At 38.4% G+C, this 27,688-nt stretch overlaps 1 protein-coding gene across 14 annotated transcripts in view, besides 1 other annotated feature; it reads left to right on the top strand.

The window, feature by feature from the left end:
* The window catches only part of NRG4 (neuregulin 4), a 124,848-nt gene that overhangs the window by 33,194 nt on the left and 63,966 nt on the right, over positions 1–27,688 (top strand). For 8 of the 14 annotated variants that reach the window (XR_007064433.1, XR_007064432.1, XM_047432183.1 and 5 more), the window contains 2 exons: positions 15,761–15,826; positions 17,754–17,847. Coding sequence is in view for 12 of the 14 variants with exons in the window: in XM_047432183.1 (XP_047288139.1) it covers positions 15,817–15,826; positions 17,754–17,847 (104 nt within the window). In the remaining 2 variants the exon portion in view is untranslated. Of the gene's footprint in view, positions 1–14,622; positions 15,029–15,760; positions 15,827–17,753; positions 17,848–27,688 lie in introns of those variants that run through there. The other 6 variants (XM_047432178.1, NM_138573.4, XM_047432179.1 and 3 more) reach the window with 3 other exon arrangements.
* Positions 7,614–8,115: an enhancer, noted in NCBI's record as "H3K4me1 hESC enhancer chr15:76311273-76311774 (GRCh37/hg19 assembly coordinates)". NCBI's record gives its function as "activates a minimal SCP1, AML or CMV promoter by ChIP-STARR-seq in primed H9 embryonic stem cells {active_cell/tissue: H9 hESC(primed)}" and the evidence as "EXISTENCE:reporter gene assay evidence [ECO:0000049][PMID:30033119]".

Raw genomic sequence — 27,688 nt, 5'->3', positions numbered from 1 at the left:
CGGGCTCATACCATTCTCCTGCCTCAGCTCCTGAGTAGCTAGGACTACAGGCACCCGCCACCATGCCCCACTATTTTTTTGTGTTTTTAGTAGAGATGGGGTTTCACCATGTTAGCCAGGATGGTCTCAATCTCCTGACCTCATGATCCACCCACCTTGGCCTCACAAAGTGCTGGGATTACAGGCGTGAGCCACCACACCTGGCCTCTTGTTTTTATTTTTTATCCTTTCGGCCAATCTATATCTTTTAAATGGAGTATTTAATCCATTGGCATGCAAGGTTATTATTGATGAGGACCTCCTTCTGTTTTTATGTTTGTTTTCTGGTAGTTTTGTGTATCCTTTGTTTCTCTTTTATTTATTTTTGCAATTGGTTGGTTTTCTGTAATGAAATGGTTTGAATCCTTTCTCTTTCTCCTTTGTATATCAGTTCTACCAGTGAGTTGAATAGTTTCATGTTTTTATGAGTGTAGTAATTGTCTTTTCCCTTCCATATGTAAGATTCCCTTGAGCATTTCTTATATAGCCAGTCTAGTGGTGATGAATTCCCTTAGTTCTTGCTTGGCTGAAAGCAAAGATTTTATTTCTCCTTTATTCCTGAAGGATATCTTTGCTGGGTATAATACTCTTTGCTGATAGTTTTTTTCTTTCAGTACTTTGATTATATCCTATTTTCTCCTGGCCTGTAAGGTTTCTGCTGAGAAATCCACTCAAACTAATGGGAATTCCCTCATATGTGACTTAATTCTTTTCTCTTGCAGTTTTAGAATTCTTTGTCTTTGACTTTTGATAATTTGACTGTAATGTGCATTGAAGAGGACTTGTTTAGGTTGAATCTGTGTGGGATTATTTGAACTTTCTGGAATTGGATATCTGTCTCTCTCCCAAAACTTGTAAAGTCTTCAGCTGTTATTTCATTAAATATTTTTTCTGCATATTTAATGAAATACTAGCTTTTTTCCCCTTCTTTTCTTCTTCTGGAATGCCCATAATGCAAATATTTTTTCACTTAATGATGTCTCATATATCTTGGAGGCCTTTTTTTGGGTGTGTAGTCGGGGGCTGCCTGTGTTACTTCAAAAGACCTGTCTTCACATTCAGAAATTCCTTCTTCTGGCTGATCTAGTCTGTTTACTGATGCTCTCACTTGCATTTTTTTTTTTAATTTTTGAGACAAAGTCTCACTCTGTCACTCAGGCTGGAGTGCAGTGATGCGATTTTGGCTTACTGCAACCTCCACCTCCTGGGTTCAAGCAGTTTTCCTGCCTCAGCCTTCCAAGTAGCTGGGATTACAGGCACCCACCAGTATGCCAAGCTAATTTTTGTATTTTTTAGTAGAGACAGGGGTTCACCACATTGGCCAGGCTGGTCTTGAACTTTTGACCTCAAGTGATCTACCAGTCTTGGCCTCCCAAAAGTGCTGGGATTATAGGAGTCAGCCATTGTGCCCAGCCTCAATTGTATTTTTTATTTCATTAATTGAATCCTTCAGCTTCAGGATTTCTGTTTGATTCTTTTTTATGATATCTATTTCTTTATTGAATTTCTTATCTAAATAGTCAATTTTTAAAATTTCATTGTGTTGTCTATCTATATTCTCTTTTTTTTGAGACAGAGTCTCGCTCTGTCACCCAGGCTGGAATGCAGTGGTGTGATCTCAGCTCATTGCAAGCTCCGCCTGCCGGGTTCACACCATTCTCCTGCCTCTGCCTCCCAAGTAGCTGGGACTACAAGCGCCCGCCACCACGCCCAGCTAATTTTTTGTATTTTTAATAGAGACGGGGTTTCACCGTGTTAGCCAGGATGGTCTCGATCTCCTGACCTCGCGATCCACCTGCCTCAGCCTCCCAAAGTGCTGGGATTACAGGTGTGAGCCACCACGCCCAGCCCCTGTCTATCTATATTCTCTTATATCTCACTGAGTTTCCTTAAGCGTACTATTTTGAATTCTTTTTCTGGTATTTCATATAGTTCCTTATGATTGGAATCTTACTGGAGAATTACTGTGTTCTTCTGAAGGTGTCCTGTTTGCCTGCTTTTTCTGCCTATGTTTTTGTTGTTGTTGTTTGTTGTTTTTTGTTTGTTTTTGCTTACATTAATTTCTATGCATTTGGTGGAACAATTGCCCCCTCCAATTTTCTGAAGTAGGCTTCATATGGAAAGACTTATACATATAGATGGGTCTTGGGGTGTCAGTTTGGTGGGGTGCCTTGGTTTTGGGTCTAGATTATCATGTAGTATAGTCTCCATGTAGTTTCTTCAGCTGTAATCTGCACTACTAACATTTATGAGTGTCTCAGGAATCTAAGATGAGAGAGTTTGGCAGTGGTGGTGTGGCTTTGCTGAGAGCGAAGCTTTTTCTCAGATCAAGGTGCGAGTATGCACAGTGAGTCAGCCAACTTGAAGTCTTGCTGGGGTTGGGGCCTTGGAGTTGTTACTCTGGCTGGTGGCACAGGCACCTGGTTGCTCAGCCAGTCTGAGGTTATGCCTGCCAGGGGTGGCTTACAAGGCTATTTCTTAGACCTAAGGCATGGGTGCACAGCTGTTCAGCTGGCCTGAGGGCATGTCTGTCAGGGGTATCCCGGGTGGCTGTTTCTCAGGCCTGGGATGCAGATGCATGGCTTCTAAGCTGTCCTGGGTGTGTGTCTGTTCAAGTTTGCTCCTGGAGTTGTTTCTCTGGCCTAGGACGTGGGTGGCTTCTTGGGTGGCCTGGGTGCATGTCTGGTAGATGTGGCCAGGACTTGGGTACACAGCCACTCAGTCTGGGAGTGTGTCTGCCAGGTGCAGCCCCCAGGGCTATTTCTCAGGCCTAGGAAGTGGACATACAGCTACTCAGTCAGCCTGGGGGCATGCTAGCCAGGGGCAGCCTGCAGGGCTGTTTCTTAGGCCCAAGACTTACATGTTGGCAGCTTGGAGGCCTAGGGGCAGGTGAGCTAGGAGTAGCCCATGAATCTGTTTCTCAGGCTCTGATTGCAGGCATGGGGCCTTTGGGCAAGCCAGAGGTGTCTCAGCAGGAGAGGTGGGTGCTGCAGGGCTATCTCTCAGGTCCTAGGCTTGTAGCTGCTCTACCTGTTTGGGGGACAGCCCAAAGAGTTGCTTGTCAGCTACTTGGTAGCCCCGAGTCCTTTCATGCTTAGCTTAGGGGAGAGTGTGCAGCAGTTTAGCTGGCTCAGCAGCGGGTTCACCCTGGGTAGGACTGCTAGACTATTCCTCCACTGGAAGTGCAGGCAGTGGGAATTGGTTTCCCTGCTGTGTAGGACCAGATTTGCAACCCATCCTGGACCCAGGCTCTGCACAGCTGGGGTTATGGCATCAGCCATCTGTGGGCTGGGTGGAATGAAGATGAAACCCCAGTGCTGGAGGGGAGCAATGGCTACTGGTCCCAGAGTAGGATGCATTCCAGAGGTGGCTCTAATTTCAAGATGGCACTGTGCTGCAGCAGTGTGGCTCACAGGATAGGTGGGGGTTGGGGAGTGCACACCTTGTGTTCATAATCCAGAGCAGTGTAGTTGCATAAATTCCCAGCAGCTCTCCAAACTGGACTTGGGGCTGGGGATGACTGTGGGATTCACCTGTAGTAAGGACTGTGGGCATTTGCAGTGGCAATAGGAGCTGATGAGATTCTTCTGCTTACCATTTTCCTGAAAGGGAAAGTCTCTCCTGTCTCCAAATCAATCTGATCCAGGCATGGCAGACAGTGCCACAGAGGCTAGATGACTCTCCGTTGCTTCCAATCACTGTAGGTACCTTCTGGGCTTCCAATCACTATAGGTACCTCCCCACTCCCCTACTGCACTCCAGCACTCTCTGGGCAACACTCCAGTGAAATCTTAGCTCTTTATTCATTGCCTTGGTCCTTGCTTGTGTGTGTGTGTGTGTGTGTGTGTGTGTGTGTGTGTGTGTGTGTGTGTGTGTGGAGTATGGGTGCCAGGTGTCTCTAGTGAGCTATCTTGCTGACATCACCTCATTGTGGTTTTAATATGCATTTCCCTAATAGCTATTCCTTTAGTTATTTAATTTTAGCAACATTTGAAAGTTGTTCTTGATTTTTTTCTTACCCTGCTCAGCTATACTGTGGGTGTACCTCCTAAGTATGTCTTTAATTATCTTTCTCTTTGTCCTAATTCCTGTGCTTTATTTCTTCACTATTATTAAAACAGCCTCCAAACTGCTTTCTCTGATACCATTTCCTCAGCAGATTCCAATTTGTTTCCCACACTGCCATCAGAATGAATTTTCTAAAATGTTGATGTAATCATGTCACTCCCTTGCTAAAAAGCTTTCAAAGCTTCCCATTGCCTTTAAGATAAAGTCTACAATCTGGATCCAGCATGTTTTATACTATCTATTCTTGCCATTCTTTTCCCCACCATCCCGCCCTCCTACAAACATACACACTCCACACTCACCACTGCACATTTCCTGGCTTGTGATCCACCTGCAATTATTTGAATACATTAGATCTTCCTTCTTTTATACCTTTAGACATGCTGTTACCTCTGTCTGAAATGCTCATTCATCTCTGTTTACAAACTCTTATTCATTCTACCTCTTGGAATCTTTTTCTGATTCTCCATAACAGTTAAGCATTGTGTGTGTGTGTGTGTGTGTGTGTGTGTGTAAAAATATTGACATACATATGTGTCTGTGAAAATATTAGGTTTAATCACATGAAACTGTCATTTGTATAAGTCAAAATATGCTTTATATGAATCAGCCTAAAACATTTTTGTGCTTGTTTTTGTGTCTGGCATTCCTCATCCAGCAAGAGACTGTCCTCTTTTTTTTAAAAGGATGGCAGGCCACTTAGTACACGTTTATTGATACGTGGATGGAAAAATAGTTCTTAAAGATCAAGGCTTTCATTTAGAGCAGGGGTCCCCACACCCGGGCCACAGACCAGTACCAGACTGTGGCCTATTAGGAACCAGGCCACACAGCAGGTGAGCAGCAGGCAAGCAAGCCTCATGGCCTGTGCTCCGCCTCCTATCAAATCAGCGGTCGCATTAGATTCTCATAGAGCATGGACCCTATTGTGAACTGCACATGTGAGGGATCCAGATTGCGTGCTCTTTATGGGAATCTAATGCCAGATGACCTGAGGTAGAATAATTTCAACCTGAAACCATCCGCCACCCCAGTCCATGGAAAAATTGTCTTCCATGAAACCGGTCCCTGGTGCCAAAAAGACTGGGGACCACTGACTTAGTGAAAAGTTAGCTTGAAAATCTATAGGTTTTCTACTTTGGAATCACATGGTCCTAAAGGTTGCTTATTTGCATGGTGCAAAAAATAACACAAAATCATCACAATATGTCTCTTAATAAATACATCTCAAATGTCATGAAGTCACAGATTATCTCCCATATACAGTTTAGTAGTCATTTTCATAATAGTAGACAGCATCATGGCTTCAAGGTTCAAATAAAATAATAAAAGATACTGATTTTGTTTCATGAAAACATTTTGAAATTCAAACACCATACACTAAAATGGTTTAGTGTGTGTGTATGTGTACAAGCACACCTCTGAGATATTGCAGGTTTTGGTTTCAGACTGCTGCAATAAAGCAAATATCACAATAAAGTGAGTCACACAAATTTTTTGGTTTCCCAATGCATATAAAAGGTATGTTTATACTATAGCCTATTAGGTATGCAGTAGCATTATGTCTAAAAAATAATGTATATCCCTTAATTTAAAAATACTTTATTGTTAAAAAATGCTGACAAACATCTGAGCCCTCAGTGAGTTGTAATGTTTTTGCTGGGGGAGGGTCTTGCCTCAACAGTGGACTTAAGATATTTAGTCAACCATGCTGTAAACAGATGTGCTGTCATCAAGGCTTTGTTGTTCTGTTTATACAGCACAGGCAGAGTAGATTTAGCATAATTCTTAAGGGCCCTAGGATTTTCAGAATGATGGATGAGTGTTGGCTTCAGCTTAAAGTCACAAGCTATATTAGCCTATAACAAGAAGTCAACCTGTCCTTCGAAGCTTAGAAGCCAGACATTGACTTCTCTTTAGCTATAAAAGTTCAAGATGGTATCTTCTACTAGAAGGTTGTTCTACAGTGAAAATCTGTTTAGTGTAACCATCTTCAATGATCTTAGATAGATTTTCTGGATAATTTGCTGCAGCTTCTACATTAGCGCTTGTTGCTTTACCTTGCACTTTTATGTTATGGAGATGGTTTCTTTCCTTAAACCTCATGAACCAACCTCTGCTAGCTTCAAACTTTTCTTCTGCTGCTTCTTTACCTCTCTCGGCCTTCATAGAATTTATAAGAATTAGGGCCTTGCTCTGGATTAGGCTTTGGCTTACAGCAAGCTTGTCCAACCCTGGCGCGTGGGCCGCATGCAGCCCAGAATGGCTTTGAATGCCACACAACACAAATTCATAAACTTCTTAAAACATTATAAGATTTTTTTGTGATTTTTTTTTCTCATCAGCTATTGTTAGTGTTAGTGTATTTTATGTGTGGCCCAAGACAATTATTTTTCCACTGTGGCCCAGGGAAGTCAAAAGATTGGACATCCCTGGCTTAGAGGAAGTGGTGGCTGGTTTGACCTTCTATCCAGATCACTAAAACTTTCTCCATAAAAGCAATAAGGCTGTTTCATTTTATCATTTGTGTGTTCACTGAATAGCACTTTTAATTTCCTTTAACAGTGCAAGAGGCCTATCTTACCTTTCTGCATGCCTTCCTCACTAAACTTAATCATTTTAGCTTTTGCTTTAAAGTGAGAAAGATGCAGCTCTCCCTTTTACTTGAACACTTAGGGGCCATTGTAGGGTTATCAATTGGGCTAATTTCAATATTGTTGTGTCTCAGGGAATAGAGAGGCCAGAGGAGATAGGGGAACGGTCGGTCAATGGAGCATTCAGAATATGCAGATTTATCGATTAAGTTCTCTATCTTACACAGTCATGGTTCATGGTGCCCCAAAACAATTACAATAGTAACATCAAAGATCACTGATCACAGATCACCATAACCGATAGAATAATAATGAAAAAGTTCGAAATATTGCAAGGATTACCAAAATGTGACACAGAAACGTGAAGTGAGCACAGGCTGTTGGAAAAATGGCACCAACAGACACAGGGTTGCCACAAGCCTTTAGTAAAAACAATATCTGCAAAGTGCAATAAAATGCATAAAATGAGATATGTCTGTATAATGGTTATAGCTATGTAAAAATTGCCTTTGAATGTGGGAGATAATATGTAATAATGGGTGGCTGGCAAGATGGCCGAATAGGAACAGCTCTGGTCTGCAGCTCCCAGCGAGATCAACACAGAAGGCGGGTGATTTCTGCATTTCTGGCTGAGGAACCTGGCTTATCTCATTGGGATGGGTTAGACAGTGGGTGCAGCCCACAGAGGGCAAGCCAAAGCAGGGTGGGGTGTCGCCTCACCGGGGAAGTGCAAGGGATTGGGGAACTACCCCCCTAGCCAAGGGAAGCCATGAGGGACGGTGCACTCCAGCCCAGATACTATGCTATTCCCATGGTCTTCACAACCCACAGATGAGGAAATTCCCTCACGTGCCTACGCCATCAGGGCCCTGAGTTTCAAGCACAAAACTGAGTAGCTGTTTGGGCAGACACCAAACTGGGTGGCTGTTTGGGCAGACACCGAGCTAGCTGCAGGAGCTTTTTTTCATACCCCAATGGTGCCTGGAACACCAGCGAGACAGAACCGTTCACCCCCCTGGAAAGGGGGCTGAAGCCAGGGAGCCAAGCTGTCTAGCTCAGCAGATCCCACCCCCACGGAGCCCAGCAAGCTAAAATCCACTGGCTTGAAATTCTCGCTGCCAGCACAGCAGTCTGAAGTCGACCTGGGATGCTTGAGCTTGGTGGAGGGAGGGATGCTTGCCATTACTGAGGCTTGAGTAGGTGTTTTTCCCCTCACAGTGTAAACAAAGCCGCCTGGAAGTTCGAACTAGGTGGAGCCCACCGCAGCTCAGCAAAGCCACTGTAGACAGACTGCCTCTCTAGATTTCTTCTCTCTGGGCAGGGGAATCTCTAAAAAAAAAAGGCAGCAGCCCCAGTCAGGGGGTTATGGATAAAACCCCCATCTCCCTGGAACAGAGGACCTGGGGGAAGGGGTGGCTGTGGGCACAGCTTCGGCACACTTAAACATCCCTGCCTGCCAGCTCTGAAGAGAGCAGTGGATCTCTAAGCACAGCATCCGAGCTCTGCTAAGGGAGGACTGCCTCCTCAAGTGAGTCCCTAACCCCTGTGTCTCCTGACGGGGAGACACCTCCCAGTAGGGGTCAACAGACACCTCATACAGGAGAGCTCCAGCCGGCATCTGGCGGATGCCCCTCTGGGACAAAGCTTCCAGAGGAAGAAACAGGCAGCAATCTTTACTGTTCTGCAGCCTCCGCTGGTGATACCCAGACAAACAGGGTCTGGAGTGAACCTCCAGCAAACTCCAGCAGACCTGCAGCAGAGAGGCTTGACTGTTAGATGGAAAATTAACAAACAGAAAGGAATCGCATCAACATCAACAAAAAGGATGTCCACTTAGAAACCCCATCCGAAGGTCACAACATCAAAGGCCAAAGGTAGATACATCCACGAAGATGAGGAAAAACCAGCACAAAAAGGCTGAAAATTCCAAAACCCAGAACGCCTCTTCTACTCCAAAGGATCACACTCCTCGCCAGCAAGGGAACAAAACTGGATGGAGAATGAGTTTGACAAATCGACAGAATTAGGCTTCAGAAGGTGGGTAATAACAAACTCCTCCAAGCTAAAGGAGGATATTCTAACTCAATGCAAGGAAGCTAAGAACCATGAAAAAAGGTTAGAGGAATTACTAACTGGAATAAGCAGTTTAGAGAAGAACATAAGTGACCTGATTGAGCTGAAAAACATAGCACGAGAACTTCAACAAGCATACACAAGTATCAATAGCCAAATCGATCAAGTGGAAGAAAGGATATCAGAGATTGAAGATCAACTTAATGAAATAAAGTGTGAAGACAAGATTAGAGAAAAAAGATTGAAAAGAAACAAACGAGCCTCCAAGAAATATGGGACTATGTGAAAAGACCAAACCTACATTTGATTGGTGTACCTAAAAGTGAAAGGGAGAATGAAACCAAGTTGGAAAACACTCTTCAGGATATTATCCAGTAGAACTTCCCCAACCTAGCAAGACAGGCCAACATTAAAATTCAGGAAATACCGAGAACACCACAAAGATACTACTCGAGAAGAGCAACCCCAAGACACATAATTGTCAGATTCACCAAGGTTGAAATGAAGGAAAAAATGTTAAGAGCAGCCAGAAAAGTCAGGTTACCAACAAAGGAAAGCTCATCAGATTAGCAGCAGATCTCTCTGCAGAAACACTACACACCAGAAGAGAGTGGGGGCCAATATTCAACATTCTTAAAAGAATTTTCAACCCAGAATTTCATATCCAGCAAAACTAAGCTTCATTAGTGAAGGAGAAATAAAATCCTTTACAGACAAGCAAATGCTGAGAGATTTTGTCACCACCAGGCCTGCTTTACAAGAGCCCCTGAAGGAAGCACTAAACATGGAAAGGAAAAACTGGTACAGCCACTGCAAAAACAAATTGTAAAGACCATCGACACTATGAAGAAACTGCATCAACTAAGGGGCAAAACAACTAGCTAGCATCATAATGATAGGATCAAATTCACACATAACAATATTAATCTTCAATGTAAACAGGCTAAATGCCCCAATTAAAAGACACAGACTGGCAAACTGGATAAAGATTCAAGACCCATTGGCGTGCTGTGTTTAGGAGACCCATCTTATATGCAAAGAAACACACGCTCAAAATAAAGGGCTGGAGGAATATTTACCAAGCAAATGGAAAGCAAAAAAAAAAAAAAAAAAAAAAGGCAGGGGTTGCAATCCTAGTCTCTGATAAAAACAGACTTTAAACCAACAAAGATCAAAAGAAACAAAGAAGGGCATTACATAATGGTAAAGGGATCAATGCAGAAAGAAGAGATAACTATCCTAAATATATATGCACCCAATACAGGAGCACCCAGATCCATAAAGCAAGTTCTTAGAGACCTACAAAGAGACATAGACTCCCACACAATAATAGTGGGAAACTTTAACACCCCACTGTTCATATTAGATCAACAAGAAAGAAAATTAAGGATATTCAGGACTTGAACTCAGCTCTGGACCAAGTGGACCTAATAGACATCTGCAGAACTCTCCACCCAAATCAACAGAATATATATTCTTCTCGGCACCACATTGCAATTATCCTAAAATTGACCACATAATTGGAAGTAAAATACTCCTCAGCAAATGCAAAATAATGGAAATCATAACAGTCTCTCCAACCACAGTGCAATCAAATTAGAACTCAGGATTAAGAAACTCACTCAAAACTGCACAAGTACATGGAAACTGAACAACCTGCTCTTGAGTGACTGATGGGTAAATAACGAAATTAAGGCAGAAATAAAGAAGTTCTTTGAAACCAATAAGAACAAAGAAACAATGTACCAGAATCTCTGGGACACAGCTAAAGCAGTGTTTAGAGGGAAATTTATAGCACTAAATGCCCTCAAGAGAAAGCAGGAAAGATCTAAAATTGACACCCTAACATCACAATTAAAAGAACTAGAGGAGCAAGAGCAAACAAATTCAAAATCTAGCAGAAGACAAGAAATAACTAAGATCAGAGCAGTCTGAAGGAGATAGAGACACGAAAAACACTTCAAAAAATCAATGGTATCCAGGAGTTGGTTTTTTTGAAAAGATCAATAAAATAGACTGCTAGACTAATAAAGAAGAAAAGAAAGAATCAAATAGACACAATAAAAAATGATAAAGGGGATATTACCACTGATCCCACAGAAATATAAACTACCATCAGAGAATACCATAAACACCTCTATGCAAATAAACTAGAAAATCTAGAAGAAATGGATAAATTCCTGGACACATACCCCCTCCCAACACTAAACCAGGAAGAAGTCGAATCCCTGAATAGACCAATAACAAGTTCTGAAATTGAGGCAGTAATTAATAGCCTACCAACCAAAAAAAGTCCAGGACAAGACAGATTCACAGCCAAATTCCACCAGAGGTACCAAGAGGACCTGGTACCATTCCTTTTGAAACTATTCCAAACAATAGAAAAAGAGGGACTCCTCCCTAACTCATTTTATGAGGCCAGCATCATCCTGATACCAAAGCCTGGCAGAGATACAACAAGAAAACAAAACTTCAGGCCAACATCCCTGATGAATATCGATGTGAAAATATTCAATAAAATATTGGCAAACTGAATCCAACAGCATGTCAAAAAGCTTATCCACCACGATCAAGTCAGCTTCATCCCTGGAATGCAAGGATGATTCAACATACAGAAATCAATACCCGTAATCCATCACATAAACAGAACCAATGACAAAAACCACGTGAGTATCTCAATAGATGCAGAAAAGGCCTTTGATAAAAGTCAATACCCCTTTATGCTAAAAACTAAAAACAATAAACTAGGTATCGATGGAATGCATGTCAAAAATCATAAGAGCTATTTATGACAAACCCACAGCCAATATCATACTGAATGGGCAAAAGCTGGAAGCATTCCCTTTGAAAACCAGCACAACACAAGGATGCCCTCTCTCACCATTCCTATTCAACATAGTATTGGAGGTTCTGGCCAGGCCAATCAGGCAAGAGAAAGAAATAAAGGTTATTCAAATAGGAAGAGAGGAAGTCAAATTGTCTCTGTTTGCAGATGACATGATTGTATATTTAGAAAACCCCATCATCTCAGCCCCAAAACTCCTTAAGCTGATAGCAACTTCAGCAAAGTCTCAGGATACAAAATCAGTATGCAAAAATCACAAGCATTCCTATACACCAATAACAGACAAAGAGAGCCAAATCATGAGTGAACTCCCATTCACAACTGCTACTAAGAGAATAAAATACCTAGGAATACAACTCACAAGGGATGTGAAGGACCTCTTCAAGGAGAACTACAAACCACTGCTCAGGGAAATAAGAGAGGACACAAACAAATGGAAGAACATTCCATGCTCATGGATAGGAAGAATCAATATCTTGAAAATGGCTATACTGCCCAAAGTAATTTAGAGATTCAATGCCATCCCCATCAGGCTACCATTGACTTTCTTCACAGAATTAGAAAAATCTACTTTAAACTTTATGTGGAACCAAAAAAGAGCCTGTGTAGCCAAGACAATCCTAACCAAAAGGAACAAAGCTGGAGGCATCACGCTACCTGACTTCAAACTATACTACAAGACTACAGTAACCAAAACAGCATGGTACTGGTATCAAAACAGACATATAGACCAATGGAACAGAACAGAGGCCTCAGAAATAACTCCACCCATCTACAACCATCTGATCTTTGACAAACCTGACAAAAACAAGCAATGGGGAAAGGATTTCCTATTTAATAAATGGTGTTGGGAAAATTGGATAGCCATATGCAGAAAACTGAAACTGGACCCCTTCCTTACACCTCATATAAAAATTAATTCAAGATGGATTAAAGACATACACCTAAAACGTAAAGCCATAAAAACCCTAGAAAGAAACCTAGGCAATACCATTCAGGACACAGATATGGGCAAAGACTTCGTGACTAAAACACCAAAAGCAATGGCAACAAAAGCCAAAACTGACAAATGGGATCTAATTAAACCAAAGAGCTTCTGCACAGCAAAAGAAACTCTCGTCAGAGTAAACAGGCAACCTACAGAATGGGAGAAAATTTTTGCAATCTATTCATCTGAGAAAGGGCTAATATCCAGAATCTACAAGGAACTTAAACAAATTTACAAGAAAAAAACCAACAACCCCATCAAAAAGTGAGTGAAGGATATGAACAGACAGTCTTCAAAATAAGACATTTATGTGGCCAACAAACGTATGAAAAAAAGCTCATCATCACTGGTCATTAGAGAAATGCAAATCAAAAAGCACAATGAGATACCATCTCATGCCAGTTAGAATGGCGATCATTAAAAAGTCAGGAAACAACAGTGCTGGAGAGGATGTGAAGAAATAAGAATGCTTTTACACTATTGGTGGGAGTGTAAATTAGTTCAACCATTGTGGAAGACAGTGTGGTGATTCCCCAAGGATCTAGAACTAGAAATACCATTTGACCCAGCAATCCAATTACTGGGTATATACCCAAAGGATTATAAATCATGCTACTATAAAGACACATGCACACATATGTTTATTGCGGCACTGTTCACAATAGCAAAGACTTGGAACCAACCCAAATTCCCCTCAATGATAGACTGGATAAAGAAAATGTGGCACATATATACCGTGGAATACTATGCAGCCATAAGAAAGGATGAGCTCATGTCCTTTGCAGGGCCATGGATGAAGCTGGAAACCATCATTCTCAGCAAACTAACACAAGAACAGAAAACCAAACACCGCATGTTCTCATAGGTGGAAATTGAACAATGAGAATACATGGACACAGGGAGGAGAACATCACACACTAGGGCCTGTCGGGGTGGGGGGCTAAGGGAGGGATAACATTAGGAGAAATACCTAATGTAAATGACAGGTTGGTGGGTGCAGGAAACCAGCATGGCACTTGTATACCTATGTAACAAACCTGCATATTCTGCACATGTATCCCAGAACTTAAAGTATAATTTTAAAAATGTAATAATGAACATTTTTTTTTTTTTGAGACGGAGTCTCACTCTGTTGCCCAGGCTGGAGTGCAGTGGTGCAATCTCAGCTCACTGCAAGCTCCGCCTCCCGGGTTCACACCATTCTCCTAATGAACAGATTGTTTTTAGAGTATTTGATTTTGAGTTTATTTTAATATTTTCTTAAAACAACAAAACAAACTTATTAGTTTGGGCTTTACATCAGTCAAGTAATAATGTCTGAATTGTCGTTTTAGAAAAGATAACCATCTAAATGTTTGGCATATTTTAGATAATTATATGATGAAGAACTCTATATTCATTTAAACAAAATTACAGTTTTAGTCAATATTTTAAAATTGTTTATGATTTTTAAAACTTAACTTTCCTCACTGTATATTTAACAACTTTGCCATAGCATTCAGGCATTACACTGTCATTGGTATTAGTCAAGTTCAGTGATTTTATTCATTTCAAATTGAACTTGGTGTTACAAGTTTTATTATAGCTATTACCTTCTTTTAGCTTTATAAGTTCTTCAGGTCATTATTTATATAAATTTTATCTGGCTTGTAAGGTAACACAAACCTCATAAAACATAAATTTAAAAAAATGTTTTTTTAATTTGTGAAACACTTATCTATTAGCTCCACATTAAAATTTCTTTTCTCCCAAACTTACACTACGTCTTGAATTATTCAGACAAGCAAAGATAAGTAAGGAGTCTAAGGAATGTGGTTTGGTTTTTACCTTTAAAACGTGGACAGTAATTTGGAAGTGCAGCTTAGTTCAACTCCTTTTCTAAATAAAATTCTGCTCCATTTGCAACTCTGAACACGTAAATTGAAGGGGTGGCTCCCGTGGCCAGTGCCTGACCTCTGTGCACACCTTGGTCTGGCGTGACCTCGCCCACACTGCACACTGCAGCCATATAAATCAGATTTTTGACATGTTATAAAATGCAAGTCACAGCTGCTGTTGTCTGCGGTATTCAAAAACTTTTGAAACACTGCATGTCCAACAAAATTTATTTTTTGTGTGAATGTAAGTTTTTATTGAGGGTAAGTCCTGTTTGTTTGGAAAAAAGAAACAGTATGAGTCAGTGCTTTTTAAAAATCAAATAGATTTAATGTTCTCCTTCCTGCCTGTTCTCGCTCGTGTGTGTTTCTCTCGATTGCTTGCTCGCTTTCTCTGCCTCTCTGCTTGTCTAAGAAAGAGCTGTTGGCTTTGAGAGAAGACCTTGGTATTACAACTGTGTTAGTAGATTGAGATTTCTGTTAGAGTCTTTCTGTTTAGGTCAGAAGTGTTCTTTATAGAACAGAACTGGGAGCTTGTAATCATAATGTAAGTATAAATGCTTCACCTCTTCAAATATATGTTTGAATTCTTTTGTTTCTGTTATAGCAGGAAACTTCATATGTAAGAATGTCTTATTAGCTACATTGCTTTGCCAGATGCCAGACATTTTTGTGTGTGTGTGGGGTTAACATTTTTTTTCTTTTTTAAATTTAATTTTAAGTTCCGGGATAGATGTGCAGGACGTGCAGGTTTGTTACATAGTGTGTTTATAACATGTGTGCCATGGTGGTTTGCCGCACCTATCAGCCCTGGACATTTTTTAGAAGAAAGGTTTGCATAGGTTGGTAAATGTAATGTGCAATCTATGGTAAACTTAAAAGTGCTTTTATAAAAGTTTTAAAGGTTCAGTTCATTCAGTTTTACTTACTGTCTCATCGTTCATGTAAAATTCCATGTAGTACTCTACTATGTTAACAATGTTTACGAAAAAAAGCCTTATTAGACTTTTCTGCAGAGAGATATTTAAGATTAAATTACATTATTTAGGCAATGATTTATATTAAGTACGTTATTGATCTTTTAGTTTTGTTCATATTTTTTACTGAAATGCAATAGGTATCTAAAAATGCTGTAACTAAAATTTGTCCCTAGTATATAAATGTCTTTATTATTTTATTTTCAACATTTAAGAATATTGCTATTAGAATATTTGACATTTTATAATGCCCTTAAAAGAAGACTATTTTCCCTGAATTATTACTTTTTAAACCGTTTTAGGTACTGTTTTTCAACCCTACTCTCTTGACCAAGAATGAAACTATTTACAAATTAAGATGCCAACAGGTAATTTCTTATATATTTATATGTTTTTGTCAATATGTGTCCATAGCAATAGAACAACAATCAAAAATGTATATTAACACAAGGCTGTATTATTCCCTTCCAACATCATTGGAAGAGATGTGAATATGAAATTAATATTTCAAATATGAAATATTTGGTTTTGAGAGACCTTCCTTTGTGACATAAAGCTATTTTATTTTAGATATATGTGTTTTATTGGTTTTATAACCTGATAAATTCTAGCTTGTCCTATATCTGAAATCAGCTCAAATAATAAGGAAATAGAAGTCAGAATAAAAGTAGATTCAGAAATAATGATTCAGGTTAGATGAGTTTTCTTTATTGATAAAATAAATGCCAAGTGTTGAGATATGTCTGACTATAATCCAATTAAAACAAGGACACTAATCTTAGCTGTGATAAAGTTACATTCCACCCTCAGTGGAAAACCATATATGATGACGCCTTTGATGCTGATGTAATGTTAATTTTATTTTTTAGCCAAATTATTCCTGAAAAATTTTATAATCTTGTTGAAAGTTGTTTGATTACGAAGAAGCATGGCATTGTGTAAAAAAGAAAAAAATCTAAAAGCATTCATTTTGGTTGATTTTACTTTCTTTTTCACCAGTTCTCTGTAGTTCTGATTTCGTCTTTACATTTTTATACTCTTAGGGCTATAATGTGATGCTGAAACAGGATTTTCTCAATTCTAAAGTAGAACAAAAGTTTTAAAATTTGAAATTCTGATTGTGGAGATATCTGACTCATAGCAATTATATCTTAGCAAGTATTGATATCTTAGTGGCACATAAATGCTAGATAATTTTTAAAATTAATATACTAATTTTAATGTCAAATTGGAGTCCCAGTGGGAGAGTAATGCCATTTTCTTATTCTGATTAGATGATTCTGGGTCATTTCCTAGACAGAAACAATTAGGAACTAACAATGTACAAGTTTAAAGCAATGTAATTTCCCCTTTAAGGCTGGAAGATAAGATATTCACCAATTTTCTCTTCATAAATTACTAGTATAATGACTCAATGAATCCTTCTGTTATTCTAATTTTTTCTATACAATGGCTTTGGTGGACAGGGATTTTTTATAAAAGGTCTTGGGGGTGAGGCTAGAAGGAAGGAGAGGTACCAAGGGAGAAAGGGAAGGCAGAGAGAGAAAGATAGATAAAGGAAAGGTCATAAAGAAGGAAGATGAGGCTGAGGAAAGAGGAAAGAGAGAAAAGAAGTCAGAGAGAAGTAGAGGTTTATTTTCTTAATATTCTGAAAGATTTGGCTGTATATCAAGCTATGACTTAGCTTTTTAATTTTTCTTTGCAACTTTAGATATGCCTTATGGTTAGTAACTGTTACCTAAAACACTTTGCAAATCAACACCTTATAAGTTTATTTTTGGTTTCTGACATTTAGATTGTCATATAGGAACATTTAAAGTTAACTTTGGAAATAAAAAGTTAATTATCTAAATCCTTTACCAGCTGCAATTTCAGATATTAATGTATTTGAGACCTAATAGGGAAAACAAGAATTTAAATAAATTCTTGGGACAGGGAAATGCTAGGTAATACTGCCAAATCTCTGTAGTAAGTGAGAAAGGCCCTGTTTGTTCTAAGATGCTGATCACCTCCTTTTAATCTAACTAATATAGATATTCCTTATTTCTGTTATATAATGTCTAAACCCATTATAGTTAATGGCCATATCTTTAGGACATAATTTTTCTCTCAAAGACATAGAAGTCCCAGTCTGTCAAATAAGGAATAGAATTAAATCTTTCATTTTGAGAAAAAAAATTCTTCATTCTGATTTTCAGAATTGCTACTTCAGTTTAAGATAGTTATTCCTATTCCTTGTTGCATTAGGAAAACTTTAATTTGCTTTTCTCTATTTTATATATGTATGTGTTCTAGATCACGAAGAGCCCTGTGGTCCCAGTCACAAGTCGTTTTGCCTGAATGGGGGGCTTTGTTATGTGATACCTACTATTCCCAGCCCATTTTGTAGGTGAGTGAAATGGACTAGGGGGAGATGTTAACTTTATTTTTTATTGTCTACTAACTTCTTTGAGAAGTGATAAAAAGTAAACAAAAAGTGTAAGATGAAAAGATGTGAGGCATATTCATATTTATTTAGGGAAAATTATCCTTTTAAAACAAAACAAAAACAAAATAAAATAGCACATAAAAATCTCACTAATCAAGGTGTTTATTCTGAAAATTGCTAATGGTAGTTCCTAGCCTAGACACATTTTTAAAAAATAATCCCTTTTAGTGAACTCTTTGATTTTAGCAATTTAAGGAAGGCAGTCTATGCTTAATATTACTGGCAAAACAGCTAGGGAATTTGCTAATCAAAAAAACCTAATATGATATATTTTATTTTGAGTTTTTAGTACATAAACACATGATAACTGAGTTGGCACCAAAACTTACACTTTATATGTTAAAAAGCAAAAGAAGGGTTAAGTTTTTCTAATGGTGGTAGCAAATAAAAAAGAAGGGTATCTTAGCCACTATTGTTTTAAAATAATATAATTCACTGTGGGAGTATAGATACAGCCAGTGACCCATAAAAAACTTCAAAATAGTACTTCTGTAGCCTGATTCCTATGAGTTTGGTTGAATAGGATTTAAATGTATATAATAAACGTCTTTTAGTATATGAGTTAACATCATAGTACTGCCCTATACTGTGGAGCTAACACCCAAGATCTAAAGATATTTTGTAACACATGTGAATTACTCTTTCTTGTTCTTTAACTGAAATGAGAAGTATAGAATCTAGATTTAAGATCTAGCTACATAAAAGGATAGAAAAGTAAAATCCATAGGAAAAGTTAAAGATACTGGGATGTAGTATGGAGGAGAGGAGGCAGAGAGAAATAACCTCACAATTATCTCAAGAAGTTTTTAGGGCTTCTCATATGGGGAATAGTGCCCAGGTGTTTTTCTTCTCTAGTGAATATGAAAAGGGAAGGGAATGGAGGAACAAATTAACAATTACTTAACACTCATGATGTGCCTCAGCAGTATACTCTTCTTTTTTAATCTATTTACTGAGATATAATTTATGTATGATAAACTGCATTCATTTAAAGTGCAAAATGGATTAATTTTGACAAGTGTTTGTACCTGTGAAATCACCACCACCATCACATCTAGATATAGAACATTTCCATAGATAATCCCCCCAAATTTTGTTGCTGACTGTGCTCAACACTTAATTCTCACAAACACCTTAGAGAAAGGAGGCAGGGGAGACCTTAGAAAATAATTTTTTAAAAAAGGGGAAAATGAGAAATTAAGTGACATGCCAAAGGTCATATAGCTGGGAAGAAGAAAGGTGTCACCTTTGAATACAACTCACAAGTTTCACTTAACTTTATAATATATTCATACTGGATTCTTTCTAAGGTGATATGGCACGTAGAATGTTTAAAATAAAACAAGAATGCTTATCAGAAGAAGTACATTTAGGTTGGGCGCGGTGGCTCACACCTGTAATCCCAGCACTTTGGGAGGCCAAGGTGGGCGGATCACAGGGTCAGGAGATCGAGACCACCCTGGCTAACACGGTGAAACCCCATCTCTATTAAAAATACAAAAAATTAGCTGGGCATGATGGTGGGCGCCTGTAGTCCCAGCTACTCGGGAGGCTGAGGCAGGAGAATGGCATGAACCTGGGAGGTGGAGCTTGCAGTGAGCCAAGATCACACCGCTGCACTCCAGCTTGGGCGACAGAGCGAGACTCCGTCTCAAAAAAAAAAAAAAAAAAAAGTGCGTTTAATAATTTAAATATACTAACATTTTGTGTCTTGATCTTGATGATGGCTGCATGGGTATAAAGACTATCCTTTCTCCATTGAATTGCCTTTGCCCCTTTGTCAAAAATCAATTGATCATTTATGTGCAGGTCTATTTCTGGACTATTCTTTTCTGTTGATCTATGTTTCCTGTCTTTTCACCAATACCAGTCTTGATAAACGTAGCTTTATAATGAGCAAAATCAGGTAGCATGATTCCTTAACTTTATTCTTCGACTCAATGACGTTTAGCCTTATTTTCTAATAGGCAGTATTTAATGTTAAAAATTTTCAAATACATTTCTGTTTTATCCTAAAAATTTTATAGTTTGTTGTTCAGTTTTAGATTTAAACATTTTTTCATTATGATTTCTTCTGTAACCTATAGGTGTTTTCCTATCCTTTTATATTTATATCCGATTTAATGGCATTGTGGACAGAGTACTTGGTCCGTTAAGCTATGCACTTAATATCTATCTGTATACTAGCTATCTGTTATACCTCACTGAATAAGTTGAAAGAAAGAACTAAGAATGCTGGAATTTGGAGATTCATTAAAATGGAAAGAAACCTAGGTTGTCATCCTGCTTTTGTACGTTGGATAGATGCGTTTTTAGTGTATTTTCAAAAAGTTACCAATGATAGAGAATGGCCAAGTTTGCTGGCAACCCACACCAGGTGTAAAAATGTGTATAGTTTCTTCCTAATATCAGAATGTAAAAGTAGTAATTGGGAGTAGCTGAAACCATGCCACATGGGTTCATGATGGATAGCAAGGTCACCACATTGCACAACAGCAGGAGGCTCTGTGGCTTGGCACCCTCTTTGCAACGTGAATGTGTATTCTGGAGTTGCTAAACACCCTGGAAGGAAGTGAAGTAGGGGAGTGGGGTAGGGAACAAAAGGGCGACTGAGAAAAAAGGATAAAAAAAATAGTGACTGCAGGTTCAGTAACATTGAATGGCAGATATATTTAAAATCATATTTTATAAAAATAATTGTTTTCCAATTATCTTAGGAGCACACCTCTAATGTAGCCCTGTAGGCTGTAATAGCAATAGCTAAGAGTGATAAGCTCATTTTCCATCCCACTTCATACTGTTTTCTGTATTTCCTGTTTCTATTATGACATCTCAACCATCTTGTCACTGAGAAACCCCAGACTTATATTTGACTCTTTATTGCCCTCTTGTCCAGTTGTCAAATCATATTTCTACCTTTGCTGTATCTCTCATCTCTCTAGTCCTTTCTGTTCTTACTATCAATATACTAGCTCAGAGTTTCTTAACTCCTTGCTTTGTCTATAGAAATAGTCCCTAACCAATTTTCCCGGAGGCTAATTCTCATCATCTGTCCAGCTAAAACAAAAAAAACCTTCAGTGACAGCCCTCACACCTATCCATCTACCACTCATGAAATAATACCTTACTTTTTAGCCTAGCTCTTTCAGCCTTCTACCATTTGGCCCTCAAACTACCTTTGTGGCCATTTCTTCCTTGGTCTGCATTCTAACTAGAGCCATTCACTATTTACGTTAGATATACTTTGTGTTATGTTGCCTGCCAACTCCTCCTCTTTCTCCTCCTCCTCAGTCTACACGAAAATGAAAATGACAACAATGAAGACCTTTATGATGATCTACTTCCACTTAATGAATAGTAAGAGGTATATTTTCTCTTCCTTACAATTCTCTTTTCTTTCCTTTTTTTTTTTTTTTTTTTTCTGAGACAGAGTCTCACTGGCTGGAGTACAGTAGGGCGATCTCGGCTCACTGTAACCTCCACCCCCCAGGTTCAAGTGATTCTCCTGCCTCTCAGCCTCCTGAGTAGCTGAGATTACAGGTGTGTGCCACGACACCCAGCTAAATTTTGTGTTTTTAGTACAGGCGGGGTTTCGCCATTTTAGCCAGGCTGGTCTTGAACTCCTGACCTCAGGTGATCCACCCACCTCGGGCTTCCCAAAGTGCTGAGATTACAGGTGTGAGTCATTGCACCTGGCCCTTTTTTTTTTTTTTTTTTAAGAGACGGAGTCTTGCTGTGTTGCCCAGGCTGAAGTGCAGTGGCTTGATCATAGTTCACTGCAACCTCAAACTCCTGGGCTCAAGTGATCCTCCTGCCTCAGCCTCCCAAGAAGCTGGGACTACAGGCACACAACACTGCACTTGGCAATTTATTTTTTGCAGAGGATGGGGTTTTGCTGTTGACTAGGCTGGTCTCAAACTCCTGGCATCAAACTCCTGGCCTTAAGTGATCCTCCCACCTCAGCTTCCCAAGGTGCTGGGATTACAGGCATGAGCCACTTCATCCAGCCCCCTTATGAGTTTCTTAATAACATTTTCTTTTCTCTAGTTTGCTTTATTATAAGAATATAGTAATACATAAAACATATAAAATATGTGTTAATTGACTGTTTATGTTATTAGTAAGGCTTCCAGTCAACAGAAGGCTATTAGTAGTTAAGTTTTGAGGGAGTCAAAAGTTATATGTGGATTTTTGACTGCATGGGGGTTGGTGCCCCTAACCCCTATATCGTTCAAGGGTCAACTGTATTTGTGCCTTTAGATCTAAAATGCCTCTAGTCAGCATATAGTTGCATCATGTGTTTTCGTCCATTTTTCTAATCTCTTTTATTAGATAATTTAATCTATTTACATTTAAAGTAATTACTGATAAGAAGGGGCTTTTGTAATTTTGCTATTTATTTTCTATATGCCTTATCACTTTTTTGTTATTTTCTATTTTACTGTCTTTTGTGTTTAATTGATTTATTCATAGTAAAAAAAAATTTTTTTTTTTTTTTTTTGAGACGGAGTTTCGCTCTTGTTGCCCAGGCTGGAGTGCAATGGCGTGATCTCGGCCCACTGCAACCTCTGCCTCCTGCGTTCAAGTGATTCTCCTGCCTCAGCCTCCTGAGTAGCTGGGATTACAGGCATGGCCACCATGCCTGGCTAATTTTGTATTTTTAGTAGAGACAAGATTTCTCCATTTTGGTCAGGCTGGTCTCGAACTCCTGACCTCAGGTGATGTGCCTGCCTCAGCTCCCCAAAGTGCTGGGATTACAGGTGTGAGTCACTGCACCCGGCCTGTAGTAAAATGTTTAAATTCCTTTCTCATTTCCTTTTGTGTATATTCTATAACTATTTTCTTTGTGTTTACCATGGGGATTAAATTTAACCTTTTAAAGTTATAACACTAATTTGAATTTATACCAGCTTAACTTCAATCACATATAAGAACTCTGCTTCTTTGTAGCTCTGTCCCCACTTCTTTCACGTATTGTTACAAAATTATATTTTTATATATTGTGTGCCACAAAACATAAACTAAGAATTCGTCTCAATACATTAATCTCTTAAATTATGTAGAAGATAAAAATGGGGTTACAAACTATTTTTATGATAATACTAGCTTTTAAAATTGTTCATGTATTTATTTTTATGGATATCTTTATTTCACCATGTAGGACTCCCTGAGTTTTTCTTGCAGAACAGGTCAAGTGATAATGAATTTTGTCAGCTTTTATCTCGGAATGCCTTAAAAACTCTTAGTTTTGAAGGACTGCTTGTTGGATATTGGATTCTTGGTTCCAGTTGTTTTGTTTGTTTATTTAGCCATTTGAGTTTATCAGCCTACTATCTTCTGGCTTGCATAGTTTTGATCAGAGAAATCTGTTGATAATCTCATTGAGGATCCCTTCTCTGTGAGGAGTCACTTTTCTTGCTGCTTTCAGGATTCTCTCTTTGGCTTTTACAAGTTTGATTATAGCATGTCTCATTATGGGTCTCTTTGAGTTCATCTTACTTGGAGTTCATTAACCTTTTTGGATATTTATATTAATGTCTTTCATCAAATTTGGGAAGTTTTAAACAATTATTTCTTTAAATATTCTTTCTATCCTTGTCTTTTTTCTCTTTTTGGAACTCTCACAATAGGTATGTTGGTCCATTTGATGGTGTCCCATGGGACCCTTAGGCTCTGTTCACTTTCTTTAATCTTTTTTCTTTCTGGTAGATGACTCAACAGTTGTCATTATCTTATGTTCATCTATTTTAACATAACGTTTTAAAATTATAAATTTCCCTCTGAGAATTAATTTAATAGCAGCTCACGATTTTTGATGTGTCATATTTTCATTTTGTTTAATTCAAATGTTTACTAATATCCTTTGAAAGTTTTCTTTGATCTGTTAATTCTATGAAAGTGTATTGCTCAATTTTCAGCATTTGTGGATTTTCTGGTTATATTTTATTATTGGTTTCAAGTTTAATTCCATTATAGTGAGAGAATATACTCTTTACAATTTTGTTCCTTTGAAATTTGTTGAGACTTACTTTATGGCCCTTCATGGAATCTATTTTGGTTGATGTTTCATGCACATTTGAAAAGGAGCAGTTGATTGGTATAGCATTCTGTAAATTTCAATTAAGTCACATTGGTAAATAATGCTATCCAAACATTCTCTTTCCAGACTGATATTTTGCCCATTATTCTATCACTTACTGAGATATGTATATTAACATCTTCAAGTAGGATGGTAGATTGCCTGCTTCTCCTTCCCCCAGTTTTACTTTATATATTTTGAAGCTATGTTAATTATTACATGTACATAAGTTTAGACTTCTGATGTGCTCTTGTTTAATTGACCCTTTTATCATTACACAATGTTCTGCTTTATCTTTAGTATTACTTCTTGCTGTAATGTCTACCTCTCTGCTATTAATATTGCTTTCTATTTGTTGGTGTTTTACACAGTGTATCTGTTTCTATCCTCTTTTAACCTATCTGTATCTTTAAAGTGTATGTTTAATAAACATATAGACAGGTTTTTTAAAAATTCAATCCGATAGTCTCTTTTAATTGTATGATTTAGTCAGTTTAGTCCATCTGCATTTAATGAACTTACTGATATGGCTAGGTTTAAGTCTACCATCTTGCTGATATTTTCTCATTGTCCCATTTGCTCGTTGACCAGCATTTTCCTCTAGCATTCCTTCTTTCCTGCCCTTTTATTGGCTATTTAAGTATCTTTTAAGTTCCCACTTTATTTTCTTCATTATCTCTTGTTATACCTTTCTATATTACTCTTTGAGTAATTATCCTAGATATTACAGTATATATTCTTAATTTATTACAGTCTACCCTCAATTAGTACGTTTACTCTTCCTGAACAATGCAAGTATCTTCTAACAGTTTAAATCCTTAGTCACTTTTTTCCCTTGGTACTATTGTTGTGCTGTCAAATATGTTTAGTGATAAGTCCATTTGCATTTCACACAGTTTTCGAAATAGCTGGGTTTAACTTTATTCTCTTCTTGTTTTCTGCTTATTTTGTCTGTTCTTTGCTCCTTTTTTCATATGGGAGATTTCATTTATCCTTTCTGGCCCAACCCAGCTTTTGATTGAGTGGCTAAGTCTTTGTTTTCTCCACTCTGAAAGTTACGCACTTTGGAGCTTTTGAGCTAAGCTTTGTATCCCCTTGTTCCATACAGGTTCAAAATCTGACAAAAATCTGGCTGGGAGGAGGATACTTGTTATGTGTTTGTTGTAGGCTCCTCCTACAAGTTTAAAATAGATAATATGTTCACATTTTTCAAAGATCAAAACCAAAAAATACGTTGATGTATATTTCTCTCATTTCTATGTCTGTTAACATTTTTCCTCCCTGTGTACTAAAAGAAAGCAGTAAGCCCTTATCTAAACTTCCAGTACTTCTTTTTGCAAATTCAAGGAAATACAAATGCGTATTTTAACCTCCCATTCTTAGTAGAATAGTTCTTAATATATAATAGTCATTCAATAAGTATTTGTCAAATGAAGCAAAGAACAAACATTGTATACTTGTGTGGTCCCATATGGTAGCCAGGAGCCATGTGTGGCTACTGAGCACTTGAAATGTGGCTAGTGTGACTGAGAACTGGAGATGTGCAATGAGTATCAAATAATCCTTAAATTTTGAAGACTTAATGTGAAAAAGTGAACTATCTCAATAACTTTTATATTGATTACATGTTGAAATGATAATATTTTGGATATATTGAAGTGAAAATATATTACTACAAATAATTTCACCCTTTTCGGTTTTTTTCAATGTGGCTACAAAAATTGGGGCCAGGCATGGTAGCTCACGCCTGTAGTCCCAGCACTTTGGGAGGCCAAGGCAGGAGGGAGGAATGCTTGAGGCCAGGAGTTTGAGACCAGCCTGGACAACATAGTAAGACCTCATCTTTACCAAACAAAACAAAACAAAAAAAATACCAGGTGTGGTGGCGTGTGCTGACAGTCCCAGCTACTCAGGAGGCTAAAGTGGGAGGATTGCTTGAGTCCAGGACTTCAGTGCTGCAGTGAACATGATCATGCCACTGTACTCCAGCCTGGGCAACAGAGCAAAACCCTGTCTCTAAAAAAAGATAAAAATAATTAAGAAAAATTTAAAACTAGACATTTTATTTCTGTTGGGGAGTATTGCTATATGTACTATCCTGTATTTCTTTTTTCTTAACAATATATCCTGGATATCTGCTCATTTTAATATATGGCTTCCCAATTCGTTTTTACAACTAGAAGGTATTCTGTTTGTGTGAATATACCATCATGTATTTAGCCAAGCCTCTATTAATGAGTATTGTACACACAGTGCAGAAGTACACACAGTGTGTACCACTGTGCCCAGCTAATTTTTTACCTTGCACATAAATCTGCACATGTATGAAATTATACAATTATATATCAGTAAAATAAAGTCCTGGAAGTGAAATTGCTGGGTTAAAGATAAATGCATTTGTAACTTCAATATATGTTGCCAAATTGCTATCCATAGAGATTATGTTATTTTGAACTCCCACCAATATATTTGGGTACGTGTTTTTCTATAACCTTGCAACAGAATTGTCAAACTACTATGTCAAACATAGTATCTCAGTGTTCTTTTAATTTTTATTTTCCTAGTTATGAGGAAAGCTGGGCATAGTTCAGTTGTTTAAATACTAATTAAAATCTTTTTGATAATGTATTTGTTTATATATTGCTTTTATATTAGTAAGATTAGCCTTTTGTCTATAATATCAATTATAGATAATTATTTATAGCTTATTTTTCCTTTTACCTAGCTTATGGGATTTAGTTTTCCATGCAGTTGTTTTCTGGTTTTACTGCAGTCAAATCTATCAATTTTTTTTAAAAGCCCTTCAAGTTCGAGTCATAGTTTTAAAAAAGACTTTCCAGCCAGGTGCAGTGGCTCATGCCTGTAATCCCAACACTTTAGGAGGCCGAGGTGGGTGGATCATCTGAGGTCAGGAGTTCCAGACCAGCCTGGCCAACATGGTGAAACCCCGTTTCTACTAAAAATATAAAAAGTAGCCAGGTGTGGTGGCAGGCACCTGTAATCCCAGCTACTCAGGAGACTGAGGTGGGAGAATCTCTTGAATCTGGGAGGCAGAGGTTGCAGTGAGCCGAGATCATGCTACTGCACTCCAGGCTGGCCTCCTGAGTAGCTGGGACTACAGATGTGTGCCAGTGTGCCCAGCTAATTTTTTTATTTTTAGGTCTTACTATGTTACCCATACTGGTCTTGAACTTCTGGTTTCAAATGATCCTCCCATCTCGGCCTCCCAAAGTGCTGGGATTATAGGTATAAGCCACTGTGCCAAGTCTCTATTTGGATTATGTATATGTTTTAAGATATAGATCCAGATTTATCTTTTTTAATATGGCTACTCTCTTAGTCTGTTTCTGCTGCTGTAACAATACTTGAGACTGGATAATTTATAGACAGTAGAAATTTATTTCTGACAGTTCTGAAGGCTGGGAAGCCAAAGATCAAGGCACCAGCTTTTGGTGTGTGGTGAGGGCCTTCTTGTTGCAAGCTCACATAGCAGAAGGGGCAAATGCTGTGTCCTCACATAGCAGAGGGCAGAAGAGCAAAAAAGGGCCGAACACTATGTCCTCACATGGCAGAGAGTAGAAGAGCATAAAAAGGCCTAAGCTAGTTTCCTTTAGCCTTTTTATAAGGAACTAGTCCATTCATGAGGGTGAAGAAAGCCCCAAC

This window comes from Homo sapiens, chromosome 15 (assembly GCF_000001405.40).
Source record: "Homo sapiens chromosome 15, GRCh38.p14 Primary Assembly".
Classification (NCBI taxonomy): Eukaryota; Metazoa; Chordata; class Mammalia; order Primates; family Hominidae; genus Homo; species Homo sapiens.
Note: the sequence above shows the minus strand (reverse complement) of the source record. Positions and strands in the feature narration are given on the sequence as shown.